The following is a 19,905-nucleotide window of genomic DNA, read 5'->3' on the forward strand; positions in this document are numbered from 1 at the left end:
GCAAGTTTTAATAAAGAGCGTCCTGTCACGTCCCTTTCCCTCTTTGCCGAGATCCATTTTCAGCCTAGCCGCTCCAACTGTGTTTTAATTTGAAACTACCTATGTTGACTCCTTTCATCAGGCGAGTGGAAGTGAGGAATATTACACTTGGTGGTGAATGACTTTATTCTTTATTTCCCAGGAGAACATGAGTGGGCTTACAAAAGGTCACCTCTCTTGATATTTCAATATCTTTTACATTCTTTCTAATGTTTTTATTTGAAAAAAAGGAATATGAGTGTATTGTATAAAAACCTTAGCACTTCTGCACCTCCAGAGCAATTCTGGCCTGAAATTCCCTACACCCCGGAGAATTAGGACAATTCAGACAATGGTATACTCTTTGGTACACGGTTGCTTAGGCTGCATGCAGGTTATAACTAAAAGCAAAATCTGCTTGGACCCTTGCCAGTAGGTCCTATGCTAACTTTTGAATTTAGGACATGTTTTTATAAATCAGTGATAGAGTGTGTGATGCCTAATCTATAAGGTATAAAGTAGAGGTTCTTCTAGTTTGTGAGAGTATAGATATAGTCTACTCCAAATTGACCTTATCCACAGTAACACAAGAAAGAAAGGACATGGGTAATTTTTTAAGTAGGGAGTACACTTTTCCTGAAGTAGGAAAAGGCTAGTCTTCTTTAACATCAGAAGGCGTGTGCAACCAGTCAGTCAGAAGATTCTATTTGTTCCTCCCACTTAAATATTTCTAAAACCTGTCTCTTCCTCTTCATCTCTGTTGCTGAACCCTTCTTCTGTTCTATTACACTATCTACCAAACAGACCTCTCTTCTGGTTCCATCTATCCTCCTTATGTCCCCAGAGGGCTTTGATGGTTTTGTTTTGGTTTTGTTATTTTAAAATCTCTCCTAAAGCAAAATCACTTGTGTTGCTTCCCTTCCCAGTGTTCCCATCCATCACGCCTGTGGATGAAATCATAGACCAGGGCACATCACAGTATAACCTCCCTCACTTTTCCACCTCTTCTTCTCTTTCCCCCACTGTTCACCTCACCCTGTGCTCTGGGCTCTGGGAGCTCTTTACCTGCATCAGCGCCTGTCACCTTGTGTACCTGTTGTAGTTTATGTGACTTTGCCCAGAATGCGTTCTCCATCCTTACAGGTCTGATAGAATCCTCTTTAGCCTTCCAGAACCAGCTCCTATGCCCCCTTCTCTTGCATCGTCTCTCAGATCCTTTCCAGAGTGATTCGCTCCCACGACGTTTGTTTTGTACTTGTGTTACAGCAACACGGTCACATTGTGCCACATCACGAGTTTACAACCCATGTGTGTCTCCGGTCTGGATGGTGAAATCCTCACTGATAGTACCTGCCTTATTCACATCTCTATTTTGCCAGCAACCACAGAGCTTGGCATGTATCCGGCACACAGTAAATGTGTATGGGATGAGTGACTAAAACATGACTTCTTAGAAAGTTGAATGAGGTCTCGAAGTCCTAATGTGAGTCACCTTTTTGTAACTGCAGAAATTATAAGTATGTATGCTAAGATCCTACTTTTGAAAAGATCTCCCATTGTGATTGGTAGACAGGACCAACAAGCTATGAGTGGATGATTAGAAAGTACTAAATAATAGGATACAATCAAGAGTCAAGTTGGGGTGGTTGATGTGGTTGCTGCAAGTGAAACTGGAGTTCCGAGAACAGAAGGACGTTGCTTAGAAAAGGCTGCCTGGAGGGAGGACTTACTTGGGTCTTGAAGAAGTGGGTCGATTTGAAGAGATGGAGAAGGAGAAGGATTTGGGGAAGGTTGAGGAAGCGGTACAAACCAAGGCATGAAGCTGGAAATGAAAATGGGTGTGTGAAATTTGTCTTACTGTAACTCTGGGATGTAACCAGAAATAATGTGTGGGATCTTGAAATTTGGGCGGATTCAGAGTTTATGGGGTAGGTAACACATTTGTGATTTGGGGAGAGAAATGGTGGAAGCAGCCTTTTTAAAGAGGTGTCAGATCGTGGCTTGCAGGATAGATGCATGTTGTGAACGTCTAGAGGCTGGGAGACCAGAGGGGAGGTGTGTGGGGGTTGATGTGGTGATCAAGCAGTAAGACGACGGCCATAGAACAGTGTGTCCTGGGCCAGGCGTGGTGGTTCGCGCCTATAATCCCAGCACTTTGGGAGGGCGAGGCGGGCAGATTACAGAGCCAAGAGTTCGAGACCAGCCTGGACAACATGGTGAAACCCCGTCTCTACTAAGAATACAAAAATTAGCTGGGCATGGTGGCGCGTGCCTGTAATCCCAGCTACTCGGGAGGCTGAGGCAGGAGAATCTCTTGAACCCTGGAGGTGGAGGTTGCAGTGAGCTGAGATCGCCTCACTGCACTCCAGCCTGGGTGACAGAGCCAGACTTTGTCTGGAGTGTGGGGGTGGAGGGGTCGAGAACAAAACAAACAAAAAAACTGTGTGTCCCAGCACTGCTAGGTATTATTAGCACACCACCCTCAAGATTTTAAAAATATGTCCACATACCACCTAACCTATTTAATACTTCGCTTTAACTTGATCTACTTTTGTATTTAAGTGAATTAAAGAAACAATTTTGCATTTCCTATGAAATTATGGGTTTCTCTCGATAATTATATATTTTTTCTAATCCCTAGTAAAATGGACATTTAATTAGTTCAGTAAAAAATATTCAACTAGGTACTACCCAGAATGAACCCATGTACCTGAGCGGTACTCACACCATGTAGTGGAAAACCTGAGTAGGCCAAGGGAGGAGGGATGGGACAAGGTGGAAAGGGTTATGAAGAGGAAAGGGAGAATCTGGGAGAACAAAGGAACTGGCCGTTCTTTGTAAGTGGTTGGGTTTAAGAGGTGGAAGAAAATAAAGGTGAACATGGCGAAACCCCGTCTCTACAAAAGATACAAAAATTAGCCACACTTGATGGCATGTGCCTGTAGTCCCAGCTACTCGGGAGGCTGAGCGGAAGGATCACCTGAGCCTGGGGAGGTTGAGGCCTCAGCGAGCCGAGATTGTGCCACTGCACTCCAGCCTGGTTGACAGAAGGAGACCTTGTCTCAAAAATAAAAATAAAAATAAAAATTAAAAAGCTGCAACTGATTTTGTTGTTGTTGGAAGAATGCAGTAAATGACCAGGAACCTGCAGAAAGTGAGCAGAGAATGAGTTCCATTTTGGGCTAATGGTTTGGTATTCCAACTACAGAGGGCTTTCAGGTGAACAATAAAGGCGTATAAGTTGCAGGTCATTTGTGCGGCAGTGTTCGTTGTGAACACGAGAATAGCTTGGCTTTCTGTGCTTTCTGTTCCCCTTCTTGGAGGGGAGCAGGTGACTGATTTTTATTTCCAGCAGAAGGAGGTTCAGTTGGATTCCATGAACTCAGAGCCCTCCTTGGGTTTCTGAAACCTGGAAACTCGAGGTTAGGATTGCTTGGAGATTGTCCGCTTTCCTGTTCCTGAAAGTAAAGTGCCCTTTAATTCTTGGATTTGTTTTATTAGTGTTCTCATCTATTCAGAAGCCATTGCATTGTTGATAGAAGGGATATGTTTTTGATGTCTATAGTCAGGTCTGAAAACAGAGCTCTGCAAGTAGCCGCACAAAAGACTAGGCCAGCTATGTAAATAATGTATATTTCAAACATCTGTCATATACCTATCCCGTTGAAAAATTACGGCTTAGGTAACTCATACACACAGTCAAAGTCTCCATTTATCTTTCTACTTTAATCCGTGATGGCCCCTCCAGGCCAAGTTTTCTTTTTCTGAAGATAAAAGAGAGAGATTTGGCAGATGCCTGTGGGCAGTCGGGGTAGCAGGACTATTGCCTGGCCTTATCCGTCTGATGGCCGTAGTTTCAGAGGGAGGAGCCATCCTCTGCAATTAACATTGCCTTCTCACCCCTACAGATTCCTGTCTGGTTGGTTCCCCTAAGAGAGCTAATATGCCATTTACTGCTTTCGGCATATCCAACTTTTGCTTTGAAATTGTCTCGTTATTAGAGAAAACGAAGGCCGCCAGAGTGACTGAGGTGCATGGGGTATTTGTCTTTTTTTTTTTTCCTTTTTGGCTGCCCAGTATCTGAACCTCTTTTCGATGTCGGTGTCATTCCTCATTGTTACGCGTCGAATGTGTCCGCCCAAAAGATAGGTTCAAGTCCTAACCCCCGGTACCTGCGAATATGCCCTTATTTGGAAATCAGGTCATTGTGGCTGTAACCAAGTTAAGATGCAGCAGTACTGGAATAGGGTGAGCCCTAGATCCACATGACTGGTGTTCTTATAAGAAGAAGAAAAGAGACACAGACACAGGGGAGAATACCATGTGACGAGAGAGGCAGAGATGGGAGTGATGTGTTTACAAACGAGGGAAGGCCCAGGACCGACAGCCACCACCGGAGGCCGGGAGAGAGGCCTGGGAGGGCTTCACCCTCAGGGTCCCGGAAGGAAACAATCCTACTGACACCTGGGGTTTCCACTTCTAGCATCAGAGCTGGGAGGGCACATATTTCTGTTGCTTTAACCCACCCACTGTGCGGTGCTAGTTCCAGCGGCCACAGGACACTAGTCCGCCACCTCTGAGCCTTGGTGGCAGGCAGCGCCCGCATTCTCTGTGAAGATGCTGAAATTGCTGTGTAGGTACTTTCCTGGCCTTCCTTACATGGAGGGCAGGGGCCAGAGACCTGGGTTCCACCCAGTGGATATTCCCTTCCTGACTTCTAATCTGGTGCTAGTAAGGTAAGATGATGGAGACTGTGAGACAGAGTCCCGGGACGTGGTGGTGTGGCATGATGGCGTTCCCGGGCCAGGGGTGGCAGCCGGCAGGTGGTGCCCCATGTGCCTTGCTAGTGGTGCCAGCTGTAGGTTTGTGCTTGGTGGTGGCTGTATGTTTCAAGCCTGGGTCTCCAGCCCTCCCTGGAATCCTTGAGTTGCTCAGTGTATTTTACTCTATCCTTTTGCCTGAGAGGCTGTGTAGCATAGTGATTTAGAGCAGAGATGCGGACCTCATGGCTTGGCTTCATAGTTCAATGTTACCATCACTAGCCAGGTAAACTTGGAGAAATCACTTATTTTCTCAGGACCTCGGCTTCCTTACCTGCAACATGGGAATAATAATGGTACCTACCCCTTGGGCTTTGGGTGAATTAATATGTGTAAAGCTCTTAGAACCAAGCTTGGTACAATGGAAGCATTATATCCCTATGACTGATTTTGTCATTAAAAGTAATGGCCAAAACTGCAATGACTTTTGCACCAACGTAATATTAAAAGAGCCAGCATGGGTATAAAACTGTAGAATCCCATCAGACACATATATAGAATCACAACAGGATCTCGATCGTTGTCACTTCAAAGTATTGATATAAAGAGTGACTTGCACAGAAGCTACACAAAAAAGTACAGTTGAGTTTTACTTTGCAACCGTGTCGTCTTCCTACGGTGACCTTTCCAGAACGCTTTTGTTTTCCCCTTTCCAATAACACCCTCTTCCCTCTACTTCCTATCTGCTTCCTCCTAGAGTTTAGAACTTAGTTCCTTGAGGAAACCTGATGGAGTGTGACCGAGCCGCTCCTTCTCTGTGCTCCGGCAGCACTTCTTGCGCACCTCTGAAATAACCGACACATCTGCCATTTTCTTGTCTGACCCTCTGTCTAGACTGGAAGCTCTTTCAGGCCGTGGCTCGGGTCTGACGTGGCTTTGTACTCCCAGTGTCTAGCGAGTGCCAGATGTGTAGCAGGTACACAGCAGTTTAAATGTATAGATACGGGGACACATGGTCTTGCTGGCATTCCCAGTGGCTTCAGTGGACTCTGTATTTCACATCTTTCTCTAACCATATGCGTGGTTGATGCCCCAGGGGTTGATGGAAGGAAGCCACCAGGGTGATTGTGGTGGATCGGTAATCGTGACCCACTCACAGGGGCCCGAAGGAGCAAACTGAAGGAAACTGGGGTAGTTTAGCTGTAACCACCGGGTTGTAGAGATGTGAACTTTGGTTTTAGGATTTTTAAGAATTCCGGCATGGATCTTTGGTGAAATTATAAAACAGTGTCTTCTGAATTCACCAAACGTCTAAGATAAAACTTCCATTTAGATTAGATGCTAGAGCTTGTGATTGGAATGTGCGTTCTGTTAACCTAGTGAACTCATTTGGATTTTCATTTCCATTGGTTTTCAAATAACTGAAAGAAGTATTTGGACATATTTTCCCCACACTTGCAAACTGGCTGTTTATAATGTAGACAAGGGGCAGATGTGGATAACTTTTTAACAGTGCTTTTAAAAAGACTGCTTAGCCAGAGAGTGAACACGTCCCAGAGAGCAGAACAGTGAAGATGGCCATAGTGTCAAGTGGATTTTTCCTTATTTGTGAGAGTGGCTTCTGTCTATGTTCATCAAATGCCTTTATGTGGTAAGGCAGCGCTGTGATTTAGGGCTGTGAAATCAGACATTCATACATTGGTGCTGGCACCCACTTGCTGGCTGTGAAATCCTAACAATCTATGTTATCAGTCTATCCTCTGTTTTCTTATATTTAAGATGAGGATAAAATAGTATCTAATTTATAGTTGTTAAACGTGGATTAAATGAGCAAATGCAATCAAAATAATTAGCATAGTGCCTGACACACAGTAAGAACCTAATACATCTTTGCTACTGTTATTTCTTTTGGAACAGAACTATACAGGATTGACTGGTTTCTAAGTGTTTTACACCTGAGGATGCAGAAGAAGAGAGCCAGCGGGCAACTTGTCTAGTGCTACATAGAGTTAAAAGCGGCTTTAAATGGGATTCTTCGCCTGATATTTGGTACTCATTTATCAGAAATCAAGTATTCCATTTCTTACTGATTTTGGTATGTGCTCTGCTAAGGAAATTCACAGAATTATTCATTTATCCAAGTGGGCTCATTTGTCCTTGAACTTCCAACTAAGGAAAAATGGTAGAGAATCACCGTGCAGTCAGTGTAGTCAGTGTTCCCGTGGAATATAACTCTAGGAGAACTTGGCTTTACTTAAAATCAGGGAAATTGTGCCCCATATAATCAGACATAGCTTACTCTGAGATACTTATTTTGACTTTTCAGTTGAAGGTAAAGGAGAAAACTCCGCTTCTGAGCTGCGAGTTCAGCTGCGTGTTTATGTGTTTGCATATGTGGTAAAAACCAATCTTGCAGAAGCACAGTTGAGAGGGGAAAGCTGTGAAGCGAAGGGACATCTTTCAAGGCCAGTTTTGAAAGTAAAGCCAGTAGGCTCTCTCCTGCCAACCAAGTGCATGTTCCTCCTTCGGTGAGTTTATAAAAGTAGTGATGGGCCCAGTGGAATCTCAGGTCAGCACGGCCTCTGGGTTGCTTAGGAAATAAAGGAGGGTGCTAGAATTGGAGGTCCACTCTTCACATGTGTTAATATTTCAGCTGCTACGAGCAGACGGTTTGGCAGCCAGGCCTGGGGCTCCGGGATGACGGCCTGAGCTGGAGGAGCAGCGTGGGTTTTCCCTCCTGCACACACCTCCTGTGAACCTCTGCACCAGCCAGGATCTGGGAGCTCAAAGCTGCCCACCTTCGCTGCATCTACCCCCGAGTTTCCATGTTACTTATTCATTTGCAACATATCCTTTCCCTTCCTTCAAATCAAGGGAAAGATAACTAAAGAAAAACCAAAACGGTACGAAGTAACTTGCTTTCTATGGTTATGCCCAACTAATTGAACTTGGAAAGCCTGTTCTACTTATGATTCCACAAGTATTGGCTTTCTTTAGTCAAAGCATAGCTTCTGGAGCATGCAGATCTTGTTTTTCCATATGGTGTACGCTGCTTGATGTGGGTGATTTAAACACATGGAGAGTTACACAGAATGTTTGTTTGGGATGCCAGAGGCGTAGTGAATAGTAGTGTACCATCCTGGCCTAAGGGCCAGAAGTGGAGGTTTCCATCGTGAGATGCAGCCATGTGCTTGCAAGGCTTCCTCTCCAGGGCAGCGCGGTGGAGTGTGCTTGGGCTGGGACTGGCCGTGGGCCAGCTAGAGGTGGGGTTTATGGTTCCGCAGTCGTGGAGTCAGGCCCCGCCGGGAGGTGTCTGTTAAGCTCGGCAGTGGCTCAGGCCTGGGATGTAAGCACAGTCTGAGAGCATGCTTCCTACGTGATAGTGGAGTGCTGGTGTGCTCCTGAAATGTCAGTATGGAAAAGGGGCCTCTTTACCCTCAGCTCCCTTTCACCTAAGGAAGGAAACCATTGTTGTTATTGGGATTGTTTTTTAAGATGGTCTCACTTTGTCACCCAGGCTGGAGTGCAGTGGTACTATCGTAGCTCACTGCAACCTCTACCTCCTGGGATCAAGCAATCCTCCCCCCTCGGCCTCCCAAGTAGCTGGGATTAGAGTTGTGTACCACCATACCTGGCTATTTTTAAATTTTTTTGTAGACTGGGTCTTGCCGTGTTACCCAGGCTGGTTTCAAACTCCTGGGGTCAAGGAGTCCTCCTGCCTTGGCCTCCCAGTGTGCTGGGATTATGGACATGAGCCACTGGACCTGGGTGGAAACCGTTGTTTATTGAGCATGTACTTGGTGTGTTGGTACCTGTGTAAGTGTCACCTTGTTTAGTCCTCACAGCAATCCTGCAAGGGTGCCACTGATTAATATTTTAGCAACACAAATGTAAAAAAATTTCAGAAAACTGAGATTTCACATACTCATCGGTATACTTTTAATCATGTTCAGTGTTAGTAAAATAACTTCTTATTTTTATTTATTTTTATTTTTATTTTGAGACAGGGTCTTGCTCTGTCACCCAGGCTGGAGCACAGTGGCACCATCTCGGCTCACTGCAACCTCCGCCTCCTGGGTTCAAGCAATTCTCCTGCCTCCGCCTCCTGAGTAGCTGGGATGGCCTGCCACCACGGCCAGCTAATTTTTGTATTTTTAGTAGAGATGATTTCACCATATTGGCCAGGCTGATCTTGAACTCCTGACCTCAAGTGATCTGCCCGCCTTGGCCTCCCGAAGTGCTGGGATTACAGGTGTGAGTCACCAGACCCAGCCTTCTTATTTTTAAGTAAAGTATTGAATACTGTTTCATTCCCCCAGTGGTTCATCTTGCACTTCCTCTAAGTGGACCCCACTGTAGAAGCCTGTGCTGTAATGAGAGAGCAGATTTTAGGGCTCCTTGCATATTCTAACAAGTCTAACCCTAAATATTTGGGTATGTTATTTAAAAATAATCTCTTCTTAGCCAGCTGAGGTTCTTCTGAGAATTATCTTGCCTTACCCAAAGAACAATAAAGCCTCCTAAGATCTGGTAAGGGGCAGGCTGGGGGATTTGCTGAGTGTTTCCCTGCTGCTATTTCTTCCTCTTCCTCTTTTTAGCACCTTAGAGTGGGTTTCAAATGCCATTGTAATGCCGTTGTGAGCTCCTTAGTCGTCTTAATTGGCTTAGTGTTATCATGAGCTGCCAATCATGTAGTGAACATCCCTGATTCCTGGAGAAGATGAGATAGCTGGGACCAAACAACTCCTAGGTCTTAACGCATTTAGTGCAAAGGTACCTGACAACAAAATTTGAAACATCAAATGAAAAGAAGTCTCAAACATAAACATAATTTCGTTCATTTGCAAATCATCTTCTTTTGCTTACTCATTTTCTCTTGTATTTTTCTTGACTTTTTTAGTTATGAAAAATTGCTGAAGAAGCATTCGGTTTAGCACAGTCTAATTTCTGCCATCTGTTGTTGTAAGAGTTAGACCGAACATTATTCTGAGGATAGCAGGAGGCTAGGATCTATGAGGATAGCAGTAGGCTAGGATCCAAATAATTGAACAATTTGACAGTACCTGGCACAGTAATTCAAAATGACAGAACTGGGGGCAAAGAAGAAGTTCTATGGGTTTGCATGGTGTAAGATAAAATCAAGTTCAAGGTAATCAAGAAAGAAATTAATAAACTAGGAATTTTGTTGAATATGATTAAAAACTATAGATGGTTAAAAATTGGGTAAACCAACTGTATCTTTGATAAGGATCAGTGAACTGGTTTAGAGTACATTAGATGTATATTACAAATCTTCCTTTTGGGGGAAAACAAAAAAAAAGTGTCCTGTGACTCCCTGTAGGAGGGTCAGTCTGAGAAAATCCGTTACAATTTCCTCCAGCATTTCAGTGGTCCAGGAGGATGGGTTCAGTAACCCATGGCAACCCAGTGAATGTGGGTAATAGGAAAACATAAGCTTCATTCAGTTCTGTTAGTAGGAGGACTTGCAAAATCTAGCACCTACATAATCCTTGGAATGTATAAGATTTAATATAATACAAATAAAGGAAACCCCAGCTCTTTAGAACATTTAAGAACAGTCACAAAGCTTTATGAAATACGGTATATATTTCTAAAAGACCAAAATTGCTTTTAAACAATATATAATAGTTAAAAATGATATCTTTTATTAACTCTTACTCCCGTTTCATGGCTAGCTAACTAGCTAACACTTAAATTCTCTGTATACTATACTAAAGAAATATAACACAAAGTTGTCAGCTTTTAACTAAAAATATGATTTATAGTTTCTCTGTATTTTTAACTTTAGAATCAATACACCAAACGATAAACTCGTAAAATGAAAAAGGTCAAACACTTGTATTCAGTTTCCTAAGATGAGAATTTCTTAATTATTTGCATGTCTACTTAACTTCTTATTGTCTTCCTCTTTCTAATGATATTCTGGGAGAGATTTGATTAGTAAACTACCTCTTTAGAGCAAAGGGTTTTAACGATTTACAGCACATTAAATGTATAGAAATTGCATTCATCTGAGCTAGATGACTTTCCTCAAATTCGCTGTTCCCTGGTGCTTTGAGAAGATGAATAGTTTGTTCCTCAGGTGCAAATATTATTTTAACTGTTTAGATTCATGCTTAGTCATGCATTTTTTTAAACTTACTTTTTCAAATTGTGGTAAAAAAAAAACACATAATGCAAAAGTTACCATCTTAACTTTTTTTTTTTTTTGAGATGGAGTCTCGCTCTGTCGCCCAGGCTAGAGTGCAGTGGCGTGATCTTGGCTCACTGCAACCTCCACCTCCCGGGTTCAAGCAATTCTCTGCCTCAGCCTCCCGAGTAGCTGGGATTACAGGCGCCCCCCACCACGCCCGGCTAATTTTTGTATTTTTAGTAGAGACGGGGTTTCACCATCTTGGCCAGGCTGGTCTTGAACTCCTGACCTTGTGATCCACCCACCTCGGCCTCCCAAAGTGCTGGGATTACAGATGTGAGCCACCGTGCCTGGCACAAAAGTTACCATCTTAACTTTTTAAGGGTACAGTTCAGTGGTATTAAGTACATTCACATTGTCATGAGGCCAACATCAGGGTGTATCCTGGGAACTGTTTTCATCTTGCAGAACTGAAACTCTGCACCTATTACACACTAACTCTCGGTCCTCCCTACCCTCATCCCCTGCAACCATCATTCTACTGTCTGTCTCTGTGAAATTGATTACCCCACCTCATCTAAGTAGAATCATAAAATATCTGTCCTTTTGTGACTGGTTTATTTCACTTAGCATATCATCAAGTTTCATCCATGTTGTAGCGTGTGTTGGAATCTTCTTCCTTGTTAAGGCAGAATCGTATTCCATTGCCCACGTGTACCATGTTTTGTTTATTCATTCACCTGTTGATGGACATTTGAGTTCCCACTATTTTGCTCTTGTGAAGAATGCTGCTGTGCACACAGGTGTACAAAGAACTGGCAAGTCCCTGCTTCAGTTCCTTTATGTACATACCCAGAAGTAGCATTGCTGGCTCACATGGTAATTCTGTTTAACTTATTTTGAGGAACCACCAAACCGTTTTTCACAGTGGTTGCACCATTTTGCATACCCACCAACGGTGTACAAGGGTTCTAATTTCTCCACATCCCTGACAACACTTGTTATTTTCTGTTTTTTTCCTTGATAGTAGCCATCCTAATGGATGTGTGTTCTTAGTCATGTATGTTATGAAGTACACTCATAGCTCCATGCTGTGGATGATCTGTCTTCTCTGAGAAGTTAGAAGAAAACTGGAGTGATCTCTGTGTTGTCTGCTGCACAGAGAAACATGATCAGCTGGAGTCTTTCTTAGAAGGCCGCTGTCACTTGATTAATAACCAACACGGAAGGCAGAGGCAGAGCAGACCAACAAACGTGCTCCTGGTTTCTTGTGCTTGTATTTGAATACTGTTTTCTTATTTTTTTCCAAGCGAGGGAAATATTTAAACACAGGCAAAGTACACTTGTGATTCTTTAAGTTTTATCCCTGTTTGCAGTGTGTGCTATGAGGTAGTGCTGTGGGATGTAACCATATGGGCCCTTCCCAAGTTGCTTAAAATGTAGTGAAGAGCTTAGAATATCTTTAGGGGTGAGCTGCAGAAAGTGAGGTGTCAGATGAGTCCTTACCTGGGGCTGTGAGGGGTGTGGCATGGAGTTGTCAGGCTGCATTCGGCAGGGTCAGCATTGAGTTGACTCTGTCCTTGTGTTCTAGATATACCCTCCGGAAGGTAGGAACACTCTGTAGACTGTGGTTCCTAGACACCATCTGTGGACCAGCATTGAGTTGGTTCCTTCTGCAGAATCATCTGGGGAACTTAAGCAGATACACATGTTAGCCTCATTCCAAAGTATTTGTAGCTTGGGATGGGGTCCAGAACTTTATATTTTCAAAGCTCTCGAGGTGATTCTGATGTACAGTTAGGTTTGGTAGCCACTGATTTGGAATTGCCTGTCCAGGACAGCAGCCTCTCAGCTCCTTCCTTCAAATCCTCACTGCTTCCTCACACCTTCAGCAAACCAGCGTTGCCTGTTCGTGTCAGGGCCTTGACACGTATGCTTGTCTTATTAAAGAGTCAGGATCCATTCTTGCCTTGAAGGCCCCCACAGTTGGCTGGAGATATACAGGAAACCACTGCGGGACAGTGGGATGAGGGTGATGATGGGGGCTGAGTAAGGGGGGCTGGACCCCCACAGAGACTAGGACATGGGAAAGGACTTCTGAGGAGGCACAGGAGCCCCGTGTCTGCCCTTGGAGGGGCAGGCAGCCCAGCAGGAAAGGACAAGAGAGGCTGGAGACAGGAGGAGTCCCCCAGGCAGTGCCCTCTCTCTGGAGGCCAGCAGATGAGAGAGACAAGGCAAGAGAGAGGAGGGGCTGGGACCCAGGAGGACCTTATGTTTCGAGCTGAGGAGCTGTCGGGTTATTCTGAGCTTAATGAGTCCCAGACAGACTTGAGGTAGGGGAGTGACATGTTGGGATTTGCATGAGAGGGAGATCGCCCTGGCTCAGGGTGGAAAATGGATTGTAGGGCCTAGAGGAAGAAACTGATAGGCCGGCAGTGGATAGAGATAGGCTCGCAAGGGTGACAGGGCCAGAATGTTGAGGAATTCCATGCCTGGCGGTGCCTGTCTCTACCTTGAAGCAGGAAGTTGGCTGCAAGAGTTGGAAGAGGTCATGGGCAAGATACCAGAGTCAAGATAGCTGTGCTGGCGTCAGAAGGTACATGCGTAGACCTCCCTTAGAGAGTCTTAGGGAGGCCTGCTGAGGCCGGATACCGTGAATTTGTGGTGGCCTTAATTTGTATGATGAGTGATTTTTACATGTAGCGGTCTATAATCTGAGTGCAAAAGTGGGAGTACCAAACATTTGGATTTTTCTAGGTTTTAACACTTTGCCAAGTAGAAGGATCTAGAGTAATGAGGAAGTTGAGGTTTCTTTTTCTCCCCGTGTTTTAATCTTCGAATGAAGCCAGGGCTGATGGGATGTCTCCTTTGGGGGTTTGTTCCTAGTGAAACAGAGGTTTGGTATATGAGAAGGTGAAAGCACAGGTTTGGTATGTGATACTCCTTAATCTTCTGAATGGTTCTCTAATGATGGTAGTCTAAATACTCAGAAAAGGAATCCAAATTGAAAGAGGTACAACGGGTGAAAATTTGAATCTTGATCACAAACTGTCATTTCAAACTCACTTTTTTTTCGGTAGAGTTGGGGTCTTGCTATGTTGCCCAGGCTGGTCTTGAACTCCTGGGCTCAAGAGATACTCCCACCTTGGCCTCCCAAAGTGCTGGGATTACAGGCATGATCCCCCTTCCCCGGCCCCTCCCCCGGCACACTTGCAAAGTTGCTTGAAGAATAATTCCAGTTGGAGTCTATTATCATGAAGAATTATTTCTGAAGGACACTTGAGCTCTTCTTAAGCTCTAGTCAAGAAAAATTGATCACCTAATTAAGCTTTTGTCAGATATGACTTTCTGTGTATATAATGTTCCACTAGACAATGTAATACATATAACTAGGACTAGAATTGCACTAATTTGGGATAATTGGGAGGAAGACCTGTCTAAATAAGTAAAAGATTTAAATTTTATAGAATGTTTAATGGAATGCAGTCTTATTACTTTCATGTCCTTAAGCTATCTAATGAATGGATAAATTATTTATAATTAGCATATCAATGGTTCTACTAAGAGATTGCTCCTTTTAGTATTTGAAAACAGGGTTTTTTTTTTCTTCTTGAATCATTGATATGGTGCCCTGAACTTTTATTTATGGCAGTTATTTGTCCTAGCCAAAGGAAAGGTAACCTTTAACCTGGCCCTATCCCATCATCGCCAAACTCCAAATTGGTAGGTTTCGAATTAACATGAAATTTTATTACATGGGAGAACCAAGTAATTCTGCATCCTTAATGACACGAGTCTTTTTCGTTTTAAAAAAGAAATCTGTATTTCCATCACCTATATGAGAACAGATGTGTTTTTAAAATTCAGAGGAAAAATACACAAATAAATATTCAAGATAAAGAAATAAAACAGTCAAGATACATTAAAAAGTGCAGATTTTAAAAATTAAGAAAATAAGATAAGGGAATAATAAACATAAAAAATATAAAGCATTCAAGATAAACACTCAAAATGATAAATAAGTAAATATCCAAGAAGAAATAAGTAAGAAACACGTCATTTTCCCCAAAGAATATTTTAGAATTCCTGATAATAATGTTTTCCACTTATTGAGGCCCTCATAGGAGCCAGTGATATTCTTTCATTTAATACAACACCCAATTCTCTGAGGTTGGTATTATAATTATATCAGTTTACTGATAAAGAATTTGTGGTTGAACATTACTAGCTAATTAATGGCAGAGCTAGGATTCAAATCTGGATCTGCTAACTTTTCTTAGGACGAACCTTTAGTACTTCATCTTCCAATGTATAATTAGAGTAAAGCAAAAGTGGGTTTTTTTTTTTTCTTTTTGAGACAGAGTCTTGTTCTGTCACCCAGGCTGGAGTGTAGTGGCACAATATTGGCTCACTGAAACCTCCACCTCCCGGGTTCAAGCAGTTCTCCTGGCTCAGCCTCCCAAGTAGCTGGGACTTGGCACGCGCCACCATGCCTGGCTAATTTTTGTATTTTTAGTAGAGACGGGGTTTCGCCATGTTGGCCAGGCTGGTCTCGAACTCCTGACCTCAGGTGATCTGCCCGCCTCGGCCTCCCAAAGTGCTGAGATTACAGGCGTGAGCCACCGGGCCCGACCACAAATAGTGTTTTTTAACCAGATCTGTAAAAAGTTTAGGAGATGGAAACTGGGCAAAAGTAAAGTATTAACCTACTCTTAACAGAAAGGAAAAAATGCTATTGGTGCAGAAGTGGCAGCGTTCGGGAGGATCAAAACAACACATCATGATGAGTATTATTTCCTCATTGACTCTGATTGCTTTTCTAGCCAGTTATTGATTCTTTGCACACATGTAGACTTTTCAGTTGGTTTTCTGAAAGCAGAGCCAACGCCAAATAGTGGCTTGAGGCCCGGATGTGGGAGCAGGCTGGCTGAGTTTGGGCACAGGCTCTGCACGGAACCAGCTGTGTAGCCTGGCCCCCATGCCTGGCCTCTGTGTCTCATGTGTAAAATGGGACAATAGCAGCACCTGCTTCATGGGATTGTTTGAGGATCAAATGCCTTCATCAATGTAAAACCTTGAGGACAGCAATCTTTGATTTAATGTTATGTGCTCCATAACAGTGAACAGTTATTGTTATTAATAAGCTTATAGTGTCAGTTTAGCAAGAAGCATCTTTGGGCCTCTAAAAAAGGGTCATTTATTTCTGAGAACTTTTGGGGTCTTTTTTTTTTTGAGGTGGGAAAGACTTAATTGCCGGTAATTACAATCTCCCCTGACCTATAGGAGCTGTTTTAAATAGTGTGTTTAAAATAGATTGGCTTTGCAGGCTAGACGTGGTACTTTTTCAGTGCACATATTACTGAGCTGGAAGGACCCATTAGGACTTAATGGTCAGGAGGTTGCCAACTGATGTTTTTGATAGGAGGTAGGAGGGTGTGTGAGTGCTGGTGTGGCATTCTAACAATTGCCTTCTTTTGCCCTTTCTGGGACTTACCCAGGGCTTTACATCTATGAGGAGCCATTGTCAGTCTGCTCTCTCTTCTTGCTTAGGAGGAGAACAGACTTACCCTGTTTCTCCACTTGCAGGTAAGTGAGCACACCCCTCAGCAGGGCACCCAGGCATCCCACCAAGTGGCCGGGAAACAAACCTGGCTCTGCGCCCCTCCTTGCTGTGGTCGGATGGTCTTGCAGAGGCTGTGATAGGACCAGCATGATGGTCAGGCTACTCAACAGAGAGGATACAACTGCAGAATCTTTCCAGATGAACAGAGGTGCTAAGGATCCCTGGTGTATTATTTCAGTGGTTCCATTTTGCATTGTTTGCTTATGGGCTTTGTGGCAGCTTTTTTTCCCAACAGATTGGTGTTCAGTTTAGGTCATCTGTTTTAAGTTCATTTGTGTCTTTCACGTGGGTGAGGATGGGGAGCCCTCGGGGGGGGGCATTTTGTATCTGGTGTACCCTTCTGTTCATCTCTGCACCTCCCCAGAGCTGCCCACGAAATGCTTATAGCCCCCATGGTCTCCTTTCTGTGCAGAAGATAATAAACTGTTGGATTTAAAACAAAATGAAACAGCAAAAAAACCACACAAACACAAAAGCCTACTTCAATGTCTGCAGGAGCTTGGATTTTGCCCCCTTCAAGATTCTTGAGAAACGTATCTTTCAGCTGGAGAATACAGTGAAGAGAATAACAGAGGAGAGCCTTGGTGTTCAAGGATTTATCAGAGATTTCAATTATTAACGGGTGATCAGGATGGAGGTCTAGGACAAACTTGCAATTTTGCTGAGGCACAAAAATTTTAATCCCATGTCCTGTGAGCGTGGACCTGAATCAGTAACCCAGTGAGCCGGCCGAGCCTGGCACTCTTGCCAACCCGGTGTATCTCCACGGGCCTGTTCTCAAAGTTCTGAGACAGGAGGGGATTAACAACTTAGTGTCTCAGGAGGCAGAGGTTGCAGTGAGCCGAGATCACACCACTGCACTCTCCAGCCTGGCGACAGAGCGAGACTCCATCTCAGGAAAAAACAAACAAAAAAAAAACAACAAAAAAACTTGGTTTCTTTTTGGAAATAGTCCTGAAAAGAACACCAACCCACCACAGCTGCTGGTGATAAGAAATAAGAGAAAATGACGATGTCTGAGAAAGTCATAGCTCTTACTCAAAGGAAAAGAAGCTTTGGATAAAGTGTGAAATACTTGTAACACAAGCCCCGAAAGCGTAACTCCTGTAACCGTCTCGAGAATTCCTCAGATGAGTATGTTTCACTTGCCGTCTTAATTTTAATACAAATAATCTTTAAAGATACAAGGCAGTAACTTAAAATTTTTAGTTATTGGGAAAATTACATGAGATCTAGTCATGATCAAAAACATGGAGATTTGCTGAAGTCTTGGGGCCTCCCATTGCTCATGGCTGGTTTCTTTTCTACAGCATACAGGATGAGACCAAAAGAGTTCAGAGCTGTGCCCCAAATATCAAGTACACAGCTATCATTAAATCAGATATTTTATGCTGTTTTTGATTTTGTGGTGGTATTGGCCTTCCTTTGAATAATCCAGTAAAGATTTAGATAAACGCGTTAGGAATTCAGGGAAAAGAACGGCCTAGGTCTGGAGGTTTGGAAGTAGTACACATTTTCTCTTTATATGACATTACGTGTAGTATGTTGGGTCATTGCCATACCTGAGTGGAGTTTGGGGACATAATTTATAACAATAACCGATTGATTATTGGGTATATTTCAAACACCTTAAGTGAGACTGAGAAAGTGATTGAATCTCTGGCCATGGATCACACTGGGTTCTTCTGAGCCTTTTGTAAACATTAAAACCAAATGAACAAAGAGGCTCTTGCAGGGGATTCATAACTCTCACTTCGCGCTGCCATTCCACATAAAACCAAAAAAAGGACCATTTAGCAGTATTGTATGCTGAAGGGCCACAGCATCGACAAGCTCCCGGTTAAACGTATTTCTGAGGTACAACAGCTGTTTTGTTGATGTTATGTTCACTGCTCTGTGAATAATTTTGTATAGCAAGAAAATATTACAACCAATTATCCTAGCTATATAACTTTTTTCTTCTTCTTCTTTGAGACGGAGTCTCACTCTGTCGCCCAGGCTGGAGTGCAGTGGCACGATCTCGGCTCACTGCAAGCTCCGCCTCCCGGGTTCACGCCATTCTCCTGCCTCAGCCTCCCGAGTAGCTGGGACTATGGGCGCCCCTCACCACGCCTGGCTAATTTTTTGTATTTTTAGTAGAGATGGAGTTTCACCGTATTAGCCAGGATGGGTCTCGATCTCCTGACCTCGTGATCCACCCGCCTCGGCCTCCCAAAGTGCTGGGATTACAGGCGTGAGCCACTGCACCAGGCCAACTTTTTTTTTTTTTTTTTAAGACAGGGTCTTACCCTGTCATCCAGGCTGGAGTGCACTGGTACAGTCATAGCTCACTGCAGCCACAAACTCTTGAGCTCAAGTGATCCTCCCAGCTCAGCCTCCAGAGTAGCTGGGACTACAGACGTGCGCCACCAAGCCCAGCTAAGTTTTTTATTTTTATTTTGTTATTATTTTTTATTGTTTGAGACAGGGTCTTACTCTGTCACCCAGTCTGGAGTGCAGTGGCACGATCATGCCTCACTCCTGGGCTCAAGTGATCCTCCTGCCTCAGCCTCCCAAGTAGCTGGGACTACAGGTGTGTGCCACCATGCCCCTTTTTTTTTTGTTTTTTGTTTTTTTTTTGTATTTTTCCTAGAGACGGAGTCTCATTATATTGCCCAGGCTAGTCTCCAACTCTTTTGTTCAAGCCATCCTCCTGCCTCAGCCTCCCAAAGTGCTGAGATTACAGGCGTGAGCCATTGCTCTGGCCATAACTTTTGTTTCAAGAAGGAAGTTAGTCTTCAATATTCTGTTCTAAAGCTTAATAGAATAATATGAAGCTATATTTCTTTCCCTCTGTTTTGGAGGAAGAGCTCATATTTTTTGGATGCTGTAACTCAGTATTTCTGAATAACTTCAATATCAGTTGAAATACTGACCTAGATCTACAAATTTTCTTTTTTTCTTGCATGATATTCCTAGAATCTTATGTGGTTTCTACAGATATCTTCAAATCAAAGAGGCTGAGCATAAGCCATACTGGTTAAAATAGAAATTTCTATTGGGGGACAATGAAAGTGTCTTTGTTAGTATCAAAATAAGTCTTAAAAATATTCATCTAGAAACTGTCATGTTTGTTCTTGTTAAGATGATTGTGTTGAACCCAAAGCCTAGCTTGTTGAGTAATTTTTCCTTGTAATTTCTCAAAAGATCTTCATTTATCATCTACTATAATATATTAATTATGGAGCTACTGGTTGGGCACGGTGGCTCACACCTGTAATCCCAGCACTTTGGGAGGCCGAGGCAGGCAGATCACCTGAGGTCAGGAGTTCAAGACCAGGATGGCCAACATGGTGAAACCCCGTCTTTAC

General features: G+C 43.5%; 1 protein-coding gene across 3 annotated transcripts in view, besides 2 other annotated features; it reads left to right on the top strand.

Annotated features, from left to right (window-relative positions):
- The window catches only part of STOX2 (storkhead box 2), a 225,509-nt gene that overhangs the window by 113,334 nt on the left and 92,270 nt on the right, over nt 1-19,905 (top strand). The gene's annotated exons all lie outside the window — the stretch shown is intronic.
- Nucleotides 9,014-9,679: an enhancer, noted in NCBI's record as "NANOG-H3K4me1 hESC enhancer chr4:184841522-184842187 (GRCh37/hg19 assembly coordinates)". NCBI's record gives its function as "activates a minimal SCP1, AML or CMV promoter by ChIP-STARR-seq in primed H9 embryonic stem cells {active_cell/tissue: H9 hESC(primed)}" and the evidence as "EXISTENCE:reporter gene assay evidence [ECO:0000049][PMID:30033119]".
- Nucleotides 13,019-13,518: an enhancer, noted in NCBI's record as "H3K27ac hESC enhancer chr4:184845527-184846026 (GRCh37/hg19 assembly coordinates)". NCBI's record gives its function as "activates a minimal SCP1, AML or CMV promoter by ChIP-STARR-seq in primed H9 embryonic stem cells {active_cell/tissue: H9 hESC(primed)}" and the evidence as "EXISTENCE:reporter gene assay evidence [ECO:0000049][PMID:30033119]".

This window comes from Homo sapiens, chromosome 4, assembly GCF_000001405.40.
Source record: "Homo sapiens chromosome 4, GRCh38.p14 Primary Assembly".
Lineage (NCBI taxonomy): Eukaryota > Metazoa > Chordata > Mammalia > Primates > Hominidae > Homo > Homo sapiens.